Genomic DNA, 16,284 nt, shown 5'->3' on the forward strand with positions numbered 1-16,284 from the left:
AAATGGTGTTAAAACCAGCATGCCAGGGAGATGCCTGATACTCGGATGCAGTAGAGTTTGGAGAGGGTATTTTATGGTTAGTCCCACCACTGCTTTAGAATGACATTGGAGGTGTACAAGTGTTCTGAACTAAGAGACCTGGGTTCACATCCTGTTTCTGCAATTCACGAGCTGTACACAAGTGAACCGTGTAACCTGAGTCACAGCTTTCTCCTGTGTATGATTGGGAGATCATTTATGCTTTCCTCACAGCATTGTTGTCAGAATCCAGATTTACTAAATACCAATGCAGTTCAGATGTTAGAGCCTCCATAGAAATGTTAAGTACATATACAAACAAAGCTTTTAATAACTGAGCCAGGGGCAGGGGTGGGAGGCTTCACTGTGAACCAACACCACAGAATCAAAAGCAGAGATTGGATTGGCATTTCTGATTGGATTGCATATAGCACTGTGACAGGTATAGATATTTCCACGCTTCTTTTTGAACCTTTTCTTTTGTTTTTCTTTGCCTTTTTGTTGTTGTGGTGGTGGTGGTTTTTTGAGACGGGATTTAACTCTGTCACCCAGGTTGGAGTGCACTGGCATGAGCACGGCTCACTGCAGCCTCGAACTGGGCTCAACGATCCTCCCATCACAGCCTCCCAAGTAGCTGGGACTACAGGTGCATGCCACCATGCCTGGCTAGTTTTAAAGTTTTTTGTAGAGATGGGGTCTCACCATGTTGCCCAGGCTGGTCTTGAACACCTGGGCTCAAGCGATACCCCTGCCTTGGCCTCCCAAAGTGCTGGGATTACAGGCATAAACCACCACACCCAGCCTAACTTTTTGAACTTTATAATATGCTCCTGATGAATTCATAAAGTAGAAATGACAGCAACCCATATACTAAAAAAGGTTAAAAGCCATGAAATATAACAGAGTTATCTTTTGTTTGGGGTTTTGTTTTGCTTGGGAAAGTCATGAACACTTTTTGGTGACTGGGGGAATTTAGTCCTAACCACAGCACTACAGGGTGGAAGTAGATGGTGTGCTGGTATGGGGCTCAGGACATCTTTGGACAGAGAGACTATGAATTTACTCCAGGGAGCCTGGGGCCTAATGGACAGAATATTTACTCTTCCCTCCCTTGTTTGGATGATTGTTTGTATGTTGTAATCAAGCAAAGCCTTTCCAACCTATTATTCGTTGGGCAGGGAAATAATCACTGTGCAGGTTTAGACCTCCCGGCTGATGAGCACTCACATGACAGCAGCCAAGTCACAATCCCCATCAGCTCTCTGGATGCGACACATATTCACTCTTTCCAGGAGCCTTCTGGAAATATGATGTGAAACCTCCGTGCAACAGCTGGAGGCAATGGGAAGTATGGCTAAAAGAAGAAAAGAAAGAAAATGTTAAATTTTACGGTTTATAGAACACTGGCATGGTTCTCATTTTAAAGATTTCAGAGAAACAATGTTAATCCACACAAACAAGGGGCAAACATGGCTTTGTGAATACAGACTTGGGGCAGGACATGTTCCCACTTTCTGGAATTTAAGCTATATTTGTGAAAGAGAAAATGTAAATTTAGGCAAAGACACAAAACAAGTGAAAGAGATGAAAAGAGTTACAGACAAGGATTCTGGTGGTACTGCAGACTGATCAAAGATGAAAGGAGTGAGGTCAACACGGTGTTTCATGCATTTTGGAACTGGAAAAGCATCATTCGTTCAGCAAACATTTATTGATTGCCCATTCTGTGACAGGCCCTGAGCTCTGCATTCAAAGTTGAAATAAGGCATAATCTGTCCTTGTGATGCTTAATAGTCCAGTGGGAGGCAGGCCATAATAATCCCAACACAGCAAAATAAGTGTTAAAGAGTTATGTTCAAAGGGTTATGGGATTATACATGAAAGAAGCCAGATTCGAAAGGCCATACTGTATGATTCCCTTTATATGAAAGATCCAGAATGGGCAAATCCATAAAGACAGAAAGTAGATTAGTGGTTGCCAGGGGCTGGGGGGCTAAGGGATGGAGAGGGACGAGTGAAAGGAGGGGACACGGAGTGACTGTGAACAGGTACAAGATCTCTTTTTGGAGTGATGAAAATGTGCTGGAATTAGATATTGGTGATCACACAATTCTGTGAATATATTGAAGACCACTGAATTTTATACTTTAAAATGGAGAATTTTATGGTTTGTGAATACTGGTTGTTCCTACATTTATTAATGCATTTATTTCCTAAAACTGTTTCTTTCTTTAGCTATGCTGTGCTGCCTAAGTCAAACTCTTAATATCCTGAACAAGGTATTGGATTTATCACGTATCCACCCATTCATCCACCCATCTCACTATACGTGAATCACTACGCTAGACCCTGAAGGTAGAAAGATGAAGCGTTACTAGCCTCAAAGATTAGCTGTGGCCCAAGCAACTCTAATAGGAAACATACTTTCAGAAGCATGGTAGCAATTAAGAATCACAAGAAAATCTGTGTGTTTAGGAATTTGAGTTATCTGAGTGCTGATATCAATTCAAACAGTCTTAAGCCAGAAGAGTACCGGGGGCCTATATATACTTAGTAAACTGGATTGCATTTCTCAAATATTAATATAAACGTAGGATGGGCTCAGCTGGAGATCACTTGATCTAAGTCACATTAACTATAAAAAGGCAAGAAGCAGGCCAGCATTTATTACATGTTAGTAGGTGCAACTAGTGCCCTCCAGAGGAAGCAGAAAATATAAGAGGCCAGGAAACAACTTTGGAGAGAACATGGGAAGTTAGGCAATGGAGAATGTAAACTGGGTAGTTCCGAATAGGGCAACTGTAAAATTCTGTTAGATAACATCGCCCCCTAGAGGTTCCCTCCTGCAGCCTCCTGTCAGAATAGTTCCATTTTTAAAAAGCCATCAGCTACTTCCCTTTATTTCAATTATGACTCCAGAATTTCTATATAGGAGAGATTTTGGTGTGTCAATTAGGCTGAAAAAGATGATTATGTGACATTTCTTCAGCATTTACATAGTTTTGTTCAGATGATACTGAACAATGGTTGTTGGAGAGGTTGTTGGGGAGGCAAGCTGATAAGAGGTCGGGGAGGCCAAAACCTGTTTGCAAAGACCACCTTGGTCAGGTATATAATGGAAAATAACCAGCTTATGTTCCAGAATTGGAGTTCACACAAACACAAACCTGTATGATGGAGAAGGGGTTCCCCTGAAGAGAAATATGTGACTATTACTGAAAATAAGAGAAGTCTTGCAGAGTGGGCTTAATAAAGCAGCGGAGTCCAGAGGTATGAATGAGCAAGGATCTGAGGTATAATGCAAGACTTTGCCTGATCCACCCCCAACTGCCTCCCTAACCCCTCCTAGAGGTGCTCCCTTTGCTTTGGGAAGGGCAAAGCCCAACAGATCCATCTGGGAATTTCTCTGAAAAGTGATTTGTGAGATCAGCAGATGCGTTTCCCAGCTGGCCTGAGAAGCAGGCACTGAGGTCAGCTCTCTGGAGAAGTGGGCAACCACCAGTGGGTTTCAAATGGATCCAGAGCAGCTGCCCAACAGAGGAACCACAAAACTGGGAGTAAGGGTTCTGATTATGCAAGGGATCATCCCTCCTACACTATCAGGTCAACTTCCCCCAGACTCTTAGAGGGAAAGTACCCTTCTCCAGGACCCACTATTTGAGAATTGTCAAGAATATTTGGATTGAGAAATCCTGCAGCAACTTTGTAATTACTGCCAGGCAAGAAAGTGGGGACCCAGAACATCACAATTTCTACTCACCAACCAGTGAAGCCCAGAGTATAGGAGTTCCATGGGTAGCATCTGATGTGTCTATGCAGTGAATTGAAATCAGTATTTAAATCATATTTGAATCAGTTTGCTCTGGCATTTTTGAGATTGTATCAACTTTTGCTCCATTAAAAATAATGGTGTGCTTCTGTAGAGTGTGTGTGAAAGAAAGTAGGGGGAAAACATTTCTAACATAAGAGAAAATGTGGCAAGGGCTATGTGATAAACAGAATGGTATCTGGAACACTGAAAGGCAGAAGCGATAAATTATAGAGACTTGGGTCCATCTTTATCAAGGTGGTGGCATTTGAGCTGAAAATGTGAAAAATGGATAGAATATGAATAGGGCAGTAAATATAGAGGAGACAGTGGGTGTAAAGATACAAATGTGGAAAAAGGCAGATTCATGCAAATTTGGTTGGAATATAGAATTTATGAATGTAAGTTGTAGGAGGATGACATGAAAAGTATTTTGAGGCCAGACAGCTTTATATTTTATACCAATAACACGAGTTCAGTAACCTCTTTCTATGGAAACTTTAAAAATCAAGACATGACAATTCACCTAAACTAATACTTCTGTGGAAATGTAGATGTGAATAAATAAATGATGACTTAACTACTATTCCCCTTTCCTTGTGAAACATTTCAACACAGAGGAACTACCAAGAATAATAAAAACACCTATATACTCATCACCCAAATGTTATTAATGTTAAGTCTTTTCCATATTTGCCTTCAGTCTTATTTTTAAGTAACTGTTTCCAGTACTTTACTGTTACAAGCAAGGCTACAACAAACATCCTAATGATAACAGACATTGTTTGAGTTCTTACTGTGTGCCAGGCACTAGTGTAACTGCCATGTGTGAATTAATTTAAATAATCTACACAGCAACTATATGCAGAAGAAAGTATATTAATCACCATTTTATAAATGGGTAATAATATGCAGAAAAACTACATAACTTCCCCGAGATCAAAGGGCCAAGAAATAAATAGTGGGGCTGGAATTTGAATACATACATTCTGGCACTTTTTAGGCCTTTTGGTTATACTTTATTTGCTTTTCTAGATGTCTCCTTGGGGCTTGTGTGAGAATTTCTCTACAGCAGTGGTTCTCAAACTTTAATGTGTATCAAAATCAAATACCTCTCTTACCTCAGGTTTCTGATTCAGTAAATCTGAGGGGAGGCTTGAACATTTGCATATCTTATTATTTATTTATTTATTTATTTATTTTTCAGATGGAATCTTACTCTGTCACCAAGGCTGGAGTGCAGTGGCGCGATCTCGGCTCATTGCAACCTCCGTCTCCGGGGTTCAAGAGATTCTCCTGCCTCAGCTGCCCATGTAGCTGGAATTAAAGGTGTGTGCCAACACGCCTGTTTAATTTTTGTATTTTTAGTAGAGACGGGGTTTCACCATGTTGACCAGGCTGGTCTTGAACTCCTGACCTCAAGTGATCTGCCTGCCTCGCCCTTCCAAAGTGCTGAGATTACAGGTGTGAGCCACCATGCTGGGCCAATATTTGCATATCTAATAACTTCCCTGGTGATGTTGATACTGCTAGTCCTGGAACACATTTGGAGAACCACCGTTCTTGAAAAACAGATTTACACATGGAATTGCTAGGTTGTAGGATATATGCATCTTTAACTATATTTCATACCAGCAAATTGCTCTACAAAGTGATTATACCAATTTACACTCATACCTGCAGTTGATGAGAGTTCCATTTCTGCACATCCTCAACAACTTTTCATAATGTCGTTTTAAAATGTTGCCAATCTGATGGGGTTGAAATTGTACCTTAATGTGGCTTCATTTGTGTTCCCCTACTGGTAAGTTATTAATCATTCACATTTTCTCTTTGAATTGCCAAATCTTATTTTTGCCAGCTATTTTTTTACCTTGATTTTTAAAAAATTATTTATAAGAACTCATAAAATATTTGGGATACTTATCTCTTCTCAGTAATTAGAAAATATTTTCTCCCCCTTGGTAAGTGTATCTTTTAACTTTGAAGTATTTCCTTACAGTTTGCCATTTATGTCTTATTTAGCAAATCCTCCCATAGTCAGATATCATAAAAATAACATAATAATAATTTTGTTTTAAAAAGCAAAGCTTTTTTACCCCTGTAATTTATTTTTTATAGATTGTGAGTCAGAAAAAAAGTTTTTGCATGAGAATACCTATTGTCTCAGAACTATAGTGGTAAATGAAATTTTTTTCTCCATTTACAAAGGGCAAAGAAACCACTTCCCCCTTTATTCCATACTTTTTAAAATGTATGTATTTTTTACTTAAAAAGTCTTTTCAAAAGATGGGGGTCCTGCCATGTTGCCCAGGCTGGTCTCCAAGTCCTGGACTCAAGGGATCCGCCCACCTTGGCCTCCCCAAATGTTGGGATTACAGGCATGAGCTACCACCACACCCATCCCTTTCTTCCGTTTTTTTTTTTCTTTTCTTTTTTTCTGAGGCAGAGTATCACTCTGTTGCCCAGGCTGGAGGGCAGTGGCACAATCTCGGCTCACTGCAACCTCCACCTCCTGGGTTCAAGCGATTCTCCTGCCTCAGCCTCCCAAGTAGCTGGGACCACAGGTGCCAGCCACCATGCCCAGCTAATTTTTGTATTTTTAGTAGAGGTGAGGTTTCACCATGTTGGCCAGGTTGGTCTTGAACTTCTGACCTCAAATGATCCACCCACCTCAGCCTCCCAAAGTGCTGGGATTACAGGCGTGAGCCACCGCGCCCGGCCTCCTTTCCTCCATTCTTAAGATGAGGTTCTTTAAAGACATAGTGTATCTTAATCTTTACTTTTGGATTGAGATAAATCTCTACAAGGATTAAGCCCACTCTTCAGTTTTTGTAATAATAGCTATATATATCCAAGGCCAAGGGCCAAATAACCTCCAGATGTATTTTTAAAAACACCTCTGGATTTAGCTCAGGGTCTCTCACAAGACGTGTAGAAACTGTCACAAGGTGTGACCCTTTTATCTTTTGAGGAGGTGAGAAGTTATTCTTTCTTCTGCTATGCTATATAAAATTCTGTTCCAATTTCATAGTCACTTTTGTGCTGCCGTACATGCTTGTAAATGTGTTAATGCTTACTCAGTAATACTTTTTTTTCTCTTCTGTATTGGTACAGAGGAATCTTTCATTGGCAGGATTGTTCTTTCCATAACAGAACCACCCCATCTCACTGATATGCAGACACTCCTTAAATCTTCAAGTTTACACATACACATAGGTCTGCTTCTGGGCTTTTTCTTCTGTCTCATGCTCTACTTATTGATCTCTGCATCAATTCCACATGTTTCAACTAAGACACTTTTTAATAAATCTCAAAACTTGATACAATAAGTCTTCCCACTCAATTTATTCTTCAAAATTGTCTTGGCTGTTCTTGATCCTTTACCTTTTAGATAAATTTTAGAATCAGTTTGCTTAGTTCTTTAAGAATTTCAGGAATTGTGGTTGGAATTGCACTAAGTTTACAACTAAGATCTGAAATATATTGTCTTCCCATTCATAAATATGGAATTATCTCTCTATCTATTCAGATTTTCTTGGTCCTCCAAGATCTTTATGAAGAAAATGATAAGATAATGTCGTATATCTTAGATCTATATTTAGGTACCTTATATATTTTGTTGTATTGTGAATGAACTCTTTAAAAATACTTTTTTCTAATTAGTTAATTTTTATGTATAAGAATTCTATTGATTATTTAATGTTGCTCTTGTATCCAGCAACCTTGCTGAATTTTTTTATTTTTAATAGTTTGGAGTAGATACTCCAGTTTTACAGGTAAATCGTCATTTTCATCTCTTTCTTCTCAATTCCTGTGTAGGAAATAAAGGATTTTTCTCTTTTAAAATCTGTTACTTTGCTAAATGCCTAGAACAGTACCTAGCCCATTGAAAGTTTTAAATTGCTGCGGTGGATTAATCTATTTTCTTCCTTGCCCTCCTGGGATAAACCATACTTATTCATAATATATTAATTTTTATATATTGTATAAGATATGCTATTTATTAAGATTTTTGCACCTCTGTTCATAAATTAATCTATACTTTTATACCCTGTTACCATCCTTCCATGTTTTGGGTATTAAGGGTATGTTAATCTCAACAATGCATTAGGTAGTTTTCTCTGTTCTTCCATCCTTTGAAAGAGTTTGTATAAGATAAAGATTTTCTGTTCCTCCAATTTTTGGTAAAACTTAAAAAACTATCTAGGCCTGGTGTCTGAGGAAAGATGTTTAAGTTGGATTTGTTATTGGCTTACTTGTATATATAATATATATATATTTACATATATATTTATATATTTATTATTTTTCCAAGAAATTGTTCATTTTATCCACAATTTCTACTTTATTCTCACAAAGTGTCATAGCTTTATCTCACTGTATTTGCAGTCATGGCTCCTTTTTTAAATTCTTAGTGTTTGAAGTGAAGGTTCCTGTGCAAAGTAATAGTTTAAAAGTTTGAGCCAGGTGTGGTGGCTCATACCTATAATCCCAGTACTTTGGGAGACTGAGGTGGGAGGATTGCTTGAGGCCAGGAGTTCAGGACCAGCCTGGGCAACATAGTGAGACCCTGTCTCTACAAAAAATTTAAAAGATTAGCCAGGCGTTGTGGCCCACCTACTTGGGAGGCTAAGGCAGGGGGATCACTTGAACCCAGGAGTTGGAGGCTTTGATCCTGCCATTGCGTTACAGGAAAGGGGTCCCCATCCAGACGCCAAGAGAGAGTTCTTGGATCTCGTGCAAGAAAGAATTTAGGGCCAGTCCGCAGTGCAAAGTGAAAGCAAGTTTATTAAGAAAGCAAAGGAATAAAAGAATGGCTACTTCATAGAGCAGCCCTGAGGGTGGCTGGTTGCCCATTTTTATGGTTATTTCTTGATGATATGCTAAACAAGGAGTGGACTATTCATGCCTTACCCCCCGCCTTTTTTTTTTTTTTTTTTTTTTTTGAGACGGAGTATCGCTCTGTATCGCTCTGTTGCCCAGACTGGAGTGCAGTGGCGAGATCTCTGCTCACTGCAAGCTCCGCCTCCCAGGTTCACGCCATTCTCCTGCCTCAGCCTCCCCAGTAGCTGGTACTACAGACGCCCGCCACCACACCCGGCTAATTTTTGTATTTTTAGTAGAGACGGGGTTTCACCGTGTTAGCCAGGATGGTCTCGATCTCCTGACCTCGTGATCCGCCCGCCTCTGCCTCCCAAAGTGCTGGGATTACAGGCGTGAACCACTGCGTCCAGCCCATGCCTCCCCTTTTGAGACCAAATCGGGTAACTTTCTGACGTTGCCATGGCATTTGTAAACTGTCATGGCGCTGATGGGAGTGTAGTAGTGAGGGCGACCAGAGGTTACCCTTGTGGCCATTTTGGTTTTGGTAGGATTTAGCCGGCTTCTTCACTGCAACCTGTTTTATTAGCAAGGTCTTTTATGACCTGTATTTTGTGCTGACCTATGTCATCCTGTGACTTAGATGGGAATGCAGCTTAGTAGGTTTCAGCCTCATTTTACCTAGCTCCTATTTTAAGATGGGAGTTGCTCTGGTTCACTCGCCTCTGACAATTGCATTGCAGCCTGGGCGACAGAGACCTTGTCTCTAATAATAAATAAATGTTTGGCTCTAAGCTTAGAAACAAAGCATTCAACTCATGGGTTAAAGAGGAAACCACAAAATCTTATTCTGGAAAATCGTAAAAGTACTATTTATTATAATGGGTGGGGTACAGTTAAATTTAGCCCTAAATGCATTTATTTAAAACACATACACGAAAAAAACGTGTGTTCAACTAAAAACCCGGAAAAGGAAAATCAGAGGAAACAAAGCACGAGAAAAAAAGAAAGAAAGAAAGAAAGAACGAAAAAAGAAAAGCACGACGTTATGGCGCTTTGAGGCTGTCGCGCTACTGGTATCTGTAGTCGTGGCTGCCGTGGACCAGGAGAGACTGAAGTGGAAAACAGCGGGCGGTAGCCGAAGCAGAGAGCAAGGAAGAGCGCGGGAAGTGCAGAGCGACAGCAACAAGAAAGGGGTGGCGCGGGACGTCGTTTACCTGGGCGACGTCCAGCCGCCCTTCCCGCCTCTGCGCGTACGCAACCTGCTTGGCGCCACTGACCTGGTGAGGAGGCTTCTTTAAGGCCGTGGACGGTTCCTACCCGCGCGCGGAGAGGACCGACGTGAAGAAGCTGCCAAAGTATAACAAGTACTACGCGAAGGGTAGGTAGGGTGGAGTCCCAGGCAGCGCGTGACGGCCGGATGCCCAGACGCGCACGTCGCCCGCAGGCGCACGCCTGGACCCGGGGGAGCCGGCTGGGGCGCCCAGGACCAGGCCTAGCCTACCGCGGGCTGCCCTTCACAGAGCTGCAGGAGAAAACGTTGTATTGTGCACGCATTCCCTAACCCTTACTAGTTTTTTTTTTTTTAATTGATCGGCCAGCTTTTGATGCGGGTATGTTAAAATCTCCCACTGTTATTGGGATTATGCCAGTTTTTTTTTTTCTTGCATTTCTGTCTACTTATGTGATACAACACTTGGGGTTATGTTTTCAGACGCCCAAGTACCCTCCTGGTCCACAGCCAGAATTAAAATGAGGCACGAGCCTCAGGTGCAGAATTTAAGGGACCGCCAAAAGAACTCCGTAATGAAGATAAGCAATATTTGGATGCAATATTTTTAAAAATAAAAATTAATGCAAAAAAGTCTATGATTAGTAAAATGCTGCAATTTTAAATAAAAACAAAATCTGACTGCATTTTCACGCCTCGATCATCTCTCTTGCCTCACAGGAGTCTGGGCCCTAGAGATAGCTTTTCTGTGAAGTGAACTTTTTTATCTTTCGGTTAAGATTCCTCTATTTCTACTATAACTTTTTGCTTAAATCATATTTTTCTGTTATTGACATTGCTACACTAATCTTTTGGTTTGTATTCATTTATTCTCTCTTTTTTTTGCGTTTTTAAATCCTTTTTCTTTGCTTTTTATTCTTTCTGTTGGAAAGGTATTTTCTGTATTTCCTTTATTAATATTTTTCTACTAAAAATTTAGGCAGAGTTGGGTCAAGAAAAAGCTCCCTTGGGAAAAATGTCTACAATATCTAGTACCGACATGTTTCTTTTTGAATCGTAGAAGTGTGTTATTTTACTAATTCAAGTGATTGTCACATCAGTAAAATTCTAGAAGCATTTATAGGGTGCTGCCTGCATTGTATCAGTCTTTGTAACAGACACCGAGTATATAAGAATTAATAAGTCATAGTACCTGCCCTCAGGGCGCCTACAATTAGCAATTAGCAGACTTTTTTTTCTTTTTTTCCTTAGATAAGATCTTGCTCTGTCACCCAAGCTGGAGTGCTGGAGTGCAGTAGTACAAACACAGCTAACTGCAGCCTTCACCTCCTGGCGTCAAGTGATCCTCTTGCCTCAGCCTCCCGTGTTGCTGGGACCACCGGTGCACACCACCATGCCTACCTAATTTCTTTATTTTTTTGTAGAGATGGGACCTCACTTTGTGCCCAGGCAGAGCAGACATTTTTCTAACATTGTCTCATTGGACCTCTCTGCTGTATTTAACACTTACCCATTCCTTCCTTGAAAATTTCCATATTCCTAGTTACTAGTCTCTTCTAATATTCTGAATAATGAGAAATTACAGCTGGGCACAGTGGCTCATGCCTGTAATCCCAGCACTTTGGGAGGCCAAGGCAGGAGGATCACGAGGTCAGAAGTTCAAGACCAGCCTGGCCAAGATGGTGAAACCCCATCTCTACTAAAAATACAAAAAAATTAGCCGGGCATGGTGGCAGACGCCAGTAATTCCAGTTACTCAGGAGGCTGAGACAGAGAATTGCTTGAACCCGGGAGGTGGAGGTTGCAGTGAGCCGAGATTGTGCCACTGCACTCCAGCCTGGGCGACAGAGAGGGACTCCATCTCAAAAAAAAAGAAGAGAAATTACTTTCTCTGCCTCTTGAATGCGTCCTCCTTTGCCCTCTCCTCAATAGTTAGCATTCTGAAAGTGCCATCCCTAACCTACTGCTCTTTTCTTTCCACATCTCATGTTTAAAATTTTTACTATGTCAGTAACTTCAAAATGTGTTTTTTTAGCTCTACCCAAATATTCTGATGTGTATCCACCTGCCATTGAATATGCACTTGGATATCCCACAGGCACCCCAAACTCAACAGAGCCGCAACTGAAGACATCATCTCCTGCCACTTTAAATCTACTGTTTTCCTTTTCTCATCTCGTTTAATCACTTTGTACTGTTATCCAAGTGTAATTCCATCTTCTGCACTCCCATGGCCAGTCAAACTCCTGTAGATTGTATTTTCCTTAACACTTTTCAGATCTGTCTCCTCTTTCTCCTTGTTACCACTCTTAGTTCAGGACCTTATTAATTGACTTCTGGACTGCTGAACCTCTCAGTTGTCTACTTTCTTCCAATTTTGTCATTTCCCCATTTGAATCTGAGGTCCCACAGTACCTTGTGCTTTCCTATATCTTAGTCTTTACCATGTATGACATTAAGAGTCTATATGACTGTCTTTTGACTGTAAGCTCCCACAGGGCATCTTTGTAACCCCCCACCACATAGCACATTGTCTGGTATTAGTGCTAAAAAAGTTTCTTGGACTGAACTAAGCTCCGATCTTATCAGTGTTTCATTTTTATCTTGTTTTAAGGCTTTTAATGTCCAAAATATTTTTGCTTTTTTTCTAGGAATAGTATTTTCAGTTTTTGGTCAAGCTCTTATGTCCCAAATTATCTACAATTACACAGTGCTTTTCATAGGTACCATCCCTGCACATTGAAGTAATAAGGGGTCAGTCAATATGATAAATCATTTGTTCACTATATGTAATATTGTAAAGATGTTTTTAGTATCTGATCAAAAGCATTCCTATTTGTCTTATTATGGTGTTATTTCTTTTCTTTTTTTTTTTTTTGGGAGACCGTCTTGTTCTGTTGCCCAGGCTGGAGCGCAATGGTGTGATCACGGCTCACCGCAGCCTTGAATGCCCAGGCTCAAGTGATCCTCCTGCCTTAGCTGCCCAAGTAGCTCGGACTACAGGTGCACCCCACTATGCCTGGCTAATTTTTAAAATTTTTTGCAGAAACAGGGTGTTGTATGTTACCCAGGCTGGTCTCAAACTCCTAGCCTCAAGCAATCCTCCCACCTCAGCCTCCCAAAGTGCTAGGATTATAGGCATGAGCCACTGCACCTGGCCTTATTCTGGTGTTATTTCTATTAGTTTTGGATTATTGTCATTATTATTCCCAGTATTAAGTGTATGGATGATTTTCCAGGAATGTGAGTCCCTGTTTTGGTTCTGTCTATGATACAGTTTTAGTCACTAGAGGGCTGTAAAGATCTCTTAGTGCTCAAGAACTGTTGGCACTACACATCAAATTTGTGATACAAAAGTTAGATTCTGGGTTTTGTTATTGTTGGAGAGTGGGGTCTCACTCTATTGCTCAGGCAGGTCTCGAACTCCTGGACTCAGGCTATCCTCCCACCTTTGTCTCCCCAAGTGCTGGATTACAGGCGTGATCCACTGCGCCTGGCAGATTTTGGGTTTTCAGGAAAGGATCTTGCTATTGTAGAGACGTGAACAGCTTCCTCTTACTTGGATGTGTTGTATAGGATCTCACTACTCAAAGTGTGGCTCCCAGAGCCACAACAATGGCATCACCTGGGAGCTGATTAGAAATGCAATTTGAAAGGCACTGGTACTATATATAGAACACAGCAAAATAGAAACAGAGTAAAGAAAGGCACATGCAATTATTGGAGAAAGGATTTGCAGACTAAAGATAAAAATGATATAAAAGATTCACTTAGCTGCTAGCAGTGTCTCAAGACTGAGTGCAATTTAAGAAGGGCAGGCTGGGTGTGGTGGCTCACGCCTGTAATCCCAGCACTTTGGGAGGCCGAGGTGGGCAGATCATGGTGTCAGGAGTTCGAGACAGCCTGACTAACATGGTGAAACCCCGTCTCTACTAAAAATACAAAAAATTAACCGGGCGTGGTGGCAGGTGCTTGTAATCCCAGCTACTCAGGAGGCTGAGACAGGAGAATCACTTGAACCTGGGAGGCAGAGGTTGCAGTGAGCAGAGACCACGCCACTGCACTCCAGTGTGGGCAACAGAGCAAGACTCCGTCTCAAAAAAAAAAAAAAGAAAAAGAAAAAAAAGGCAACACATAATGTTCAGAATGTGGTTAGAACACATCTCTCCATTCTTGTGGACCTCACACCTTAATGTAGCCAGATCATGCAGTGGGTGCCAACAGATGACCACTGCTGTCACTAAGTGGGCAGGTAGGACTCACTAATCCATGATATATGGAACTGCTATTCCCAAATAAAGTCCTGCCAGGTACTTTTTGGAACCCTGGGATAATGTTTGGGGGCATGGAGAGTGGATGGGGATTTTTCTTTGCTTTAACATGATACAGACACTAGAGTGGTCAGGGGATAGTCTTGAAGGGGTTTGGATAATTGTGTGCCATAAAAACATCCTGAGAGGCTTTGTAGCATGGTACTTAAGCATGTGGAGACTACCAGGTTTAAATTATCCTTCTGCTAGTTACTAGCTGACCTTGGGTGAGTTAACTCTCTGTATCTCAATCCTTTTTTCTGTAATATGGGGGTGGTCCTAGCATCTACCTCAGGGTTATTGTGAAGATTGCATGAGTTTGTACATTTAAGTGCTTAGAACAGGAGTGACAAACAACACTCAATAAATGGAAACAAAAAGGACATATGTGGGCCAATATGCAGTACAGTCCCTGGCTCATAGTAAGTATACAGGTGCCCATTAAATGTTTGTGGAATGTGCCACTTGTTTATTTATTTTCCCTCAGTTTCAAACTCACCCTTAATTTCCTGTTCTATGAAATTGAGATGGGCCCTTAAATATTTTTCCTTGGCTAGCTGGAACGTTGTTAAACTTTATCTACAGAAGATATTGAAGGGACATTGCAGGAAGAGGGGGTTTTCCTTCCTGGCTCCAGGGTTCTCTCATCAGGTTCCTGTAGACCCAGCTTCTGCAGTGCTTTAGCTTCAGTGCATGGCAACTAGCAGCACCCCTACAGGCAGGTTTGTAGCCCAGCATGTCCAGTGAGATGCTTCCCTGTGAAGGACTTTCCCCTGCAAACTAGAAGGTGGATATCCAGCATGTTCTGCCAGTACAGACAGGTGACTTTTCTGCCATTTGTTGAGCCATGGCTGGATCTCAGCTGGGGAGGGTAAGGGTGCAGGAATTCTTCCTTGAGTGATTTGTTTTAGCCCTTGGAATATCTGCTTTTCCTACATTCCTTAAAATTCTCTTTCTTTCTAGCCTATCTCTTGTTATAGTTAATAATTTGTTCATATTAAACTTTCAAATTATCTGGTTTCTGTCTCCTAATAGGACCTTGATTAATATTAATAATAAATGAATAAATGAAACATTAACATTCCCAATTGTTCTGGGAAGTTTAAATGTTTTATGTAAGATGAAGATGCAGATTTTCAGAATTAACTTTTTGTGTTGAATAGATATACTGTTATCTATGATTAAAATATGTGTTAAGACAATATGTAGATTGTGATCCTGTTTCTGTTCTAAAAAATTGGTGTGTGCCGGTTCCAAGATGGCCGAATAGGAACAGCTCCAGTCTACAGCTCCCAGCGTGAGCAACACAGAAAACGGGTGATTTCTGCATTTCCAACTGAGGTACTGGGACCATCTCACTGTGGCTTGTCAGACAGTGGGTGCAGTCCATGGAGCGTGAGCTGAAGCAGGGCAGGGCGTTGTCTCACCCAGGAAGTGCAAGGGGTCGGGGAATTCCCTTTCCTAGCCAAGGGAAGCCGTGACAGACAGTACCTGGAAAATCGGGACACTCCCACCCTAATACTGCGCTTTTCCAATGGTCTTAGCAAACGGCACACCAGAAGATTATATCCCATGCCTGGCTTGGAGGGTCCCACACCCACAGAGCCTCGCTCACTGCTAGCACAGCGGTCTGAGATTGAACAGCAAGGCGGCAGTGAGGCTGGGGGAAGGGCGTCTGCCATTGCTGAGGCTTGAATAGGTAAACAAAATGGCCAGGAAGCTCGAACTGGGTGGAGCCCACTGCAGCTCAAGGAGGCCTGCCTGCCTCTGTAGACTCCACCTCTGGGAACAGGGCATAGTTGAACAAAAGGCAGCAGAAACTTCTGCAGACTTAAACGTCCCTATCTGGCAGCTTTGAAGAGAGTAGTGGTTCTACCAGCATGGAGTTTGAGATCTGAGAATGGACAGATTGCATCCTCAAGTGGGTCCCTGACCCCTGAGTAGCCTAACTGGGAGACTCCTCCCAGTAGGGGCCGACTGACACCTCATACAGCCGGGTGACCCTCTGAGATGAAGCTTGCAGAGGAAGGATCAGGCAGCAACATTTGCCATTCTGCAATATTTGCTGTTCTGCAGCCTCCGCTGGTGATATC

At 41.6% G+C, this 16,284-nt stretch overlaps 1 protein-coding gene across 11 annotated transcripts in view, besides 2 other annotated features; it reads right to left on the minus strand.

The window, feature by feature from the left end:
* The window catches only part of CCL28 (C-C motif chemokine ligand 28), a 55,417-nt gene that overhangs the window by 30,130 nt on the left and 9,003 nt on the right, over nucleotides 1-16,284 (minus strand). For 6 of the 11 annotated variants that reach the window (XR_427660.3, XR_925633.3, XR_241706.4 and 3 more), the window contains exon 2: nucleotides 1,246-1,372. Coding sequence is in view for 4 of the 11 variants with exons in the window: in NM_001301874.2 (NP_001288803.1) it covers nucleotides 1,246-1,372 (127 nt within the window). In the remaining 7 variants the exon portion in view is untranslated. Of the gene's footprint in view, nucleotides 1-1,245; nucleotides 1,373-9,930; nucleotides 10,034-16,284 lie in introns of those variants that run through there. The other 5 variants (XR_007058612.1, XR_007058610.1, XR_007058611.1 and 2 more) reach the window with 1 other exon arrangement.
* Nucleotides 10,015-10,074: a silencer, noted in NCBI's record as "silent region_15993". NCBI's record gives its function as "represses an Ori minimal core promoter by ATAC-STARR-seq in GM12878 lymphoblastoid cells {active_cell/tissue: GM12878}" and the evidence as "EXISTENCE:reporter gene assay evidence [ECO:0000049][PMID:35858748]".
* Nucleotides 10,125-10,214: a silencer, noted in NCBI's record as "silent region_15994". NCBI's record gives its function as "represses an Ori minimal core promoter by ATAC-STARR-seq in GM12878 lymphoblastoid cells {active_cell/tissue: GM12878}" and the evidence as "EXISTENCE:reporter gene assay evidence [ECO:0000049][PMID:35858748]".

This window comes from Homo sapiens, chromosome 5, assembly GCF_000001405.40.
Source record: "Homo sapiens chromosome 5, GRCh38.p14 Primary Assembly".
Classification (NCBI taxonomy): Eukaryota; Metazoa; Chordata; class Mammalia; order Primates; family Hominidae; genus Homo; species Homo sapiens.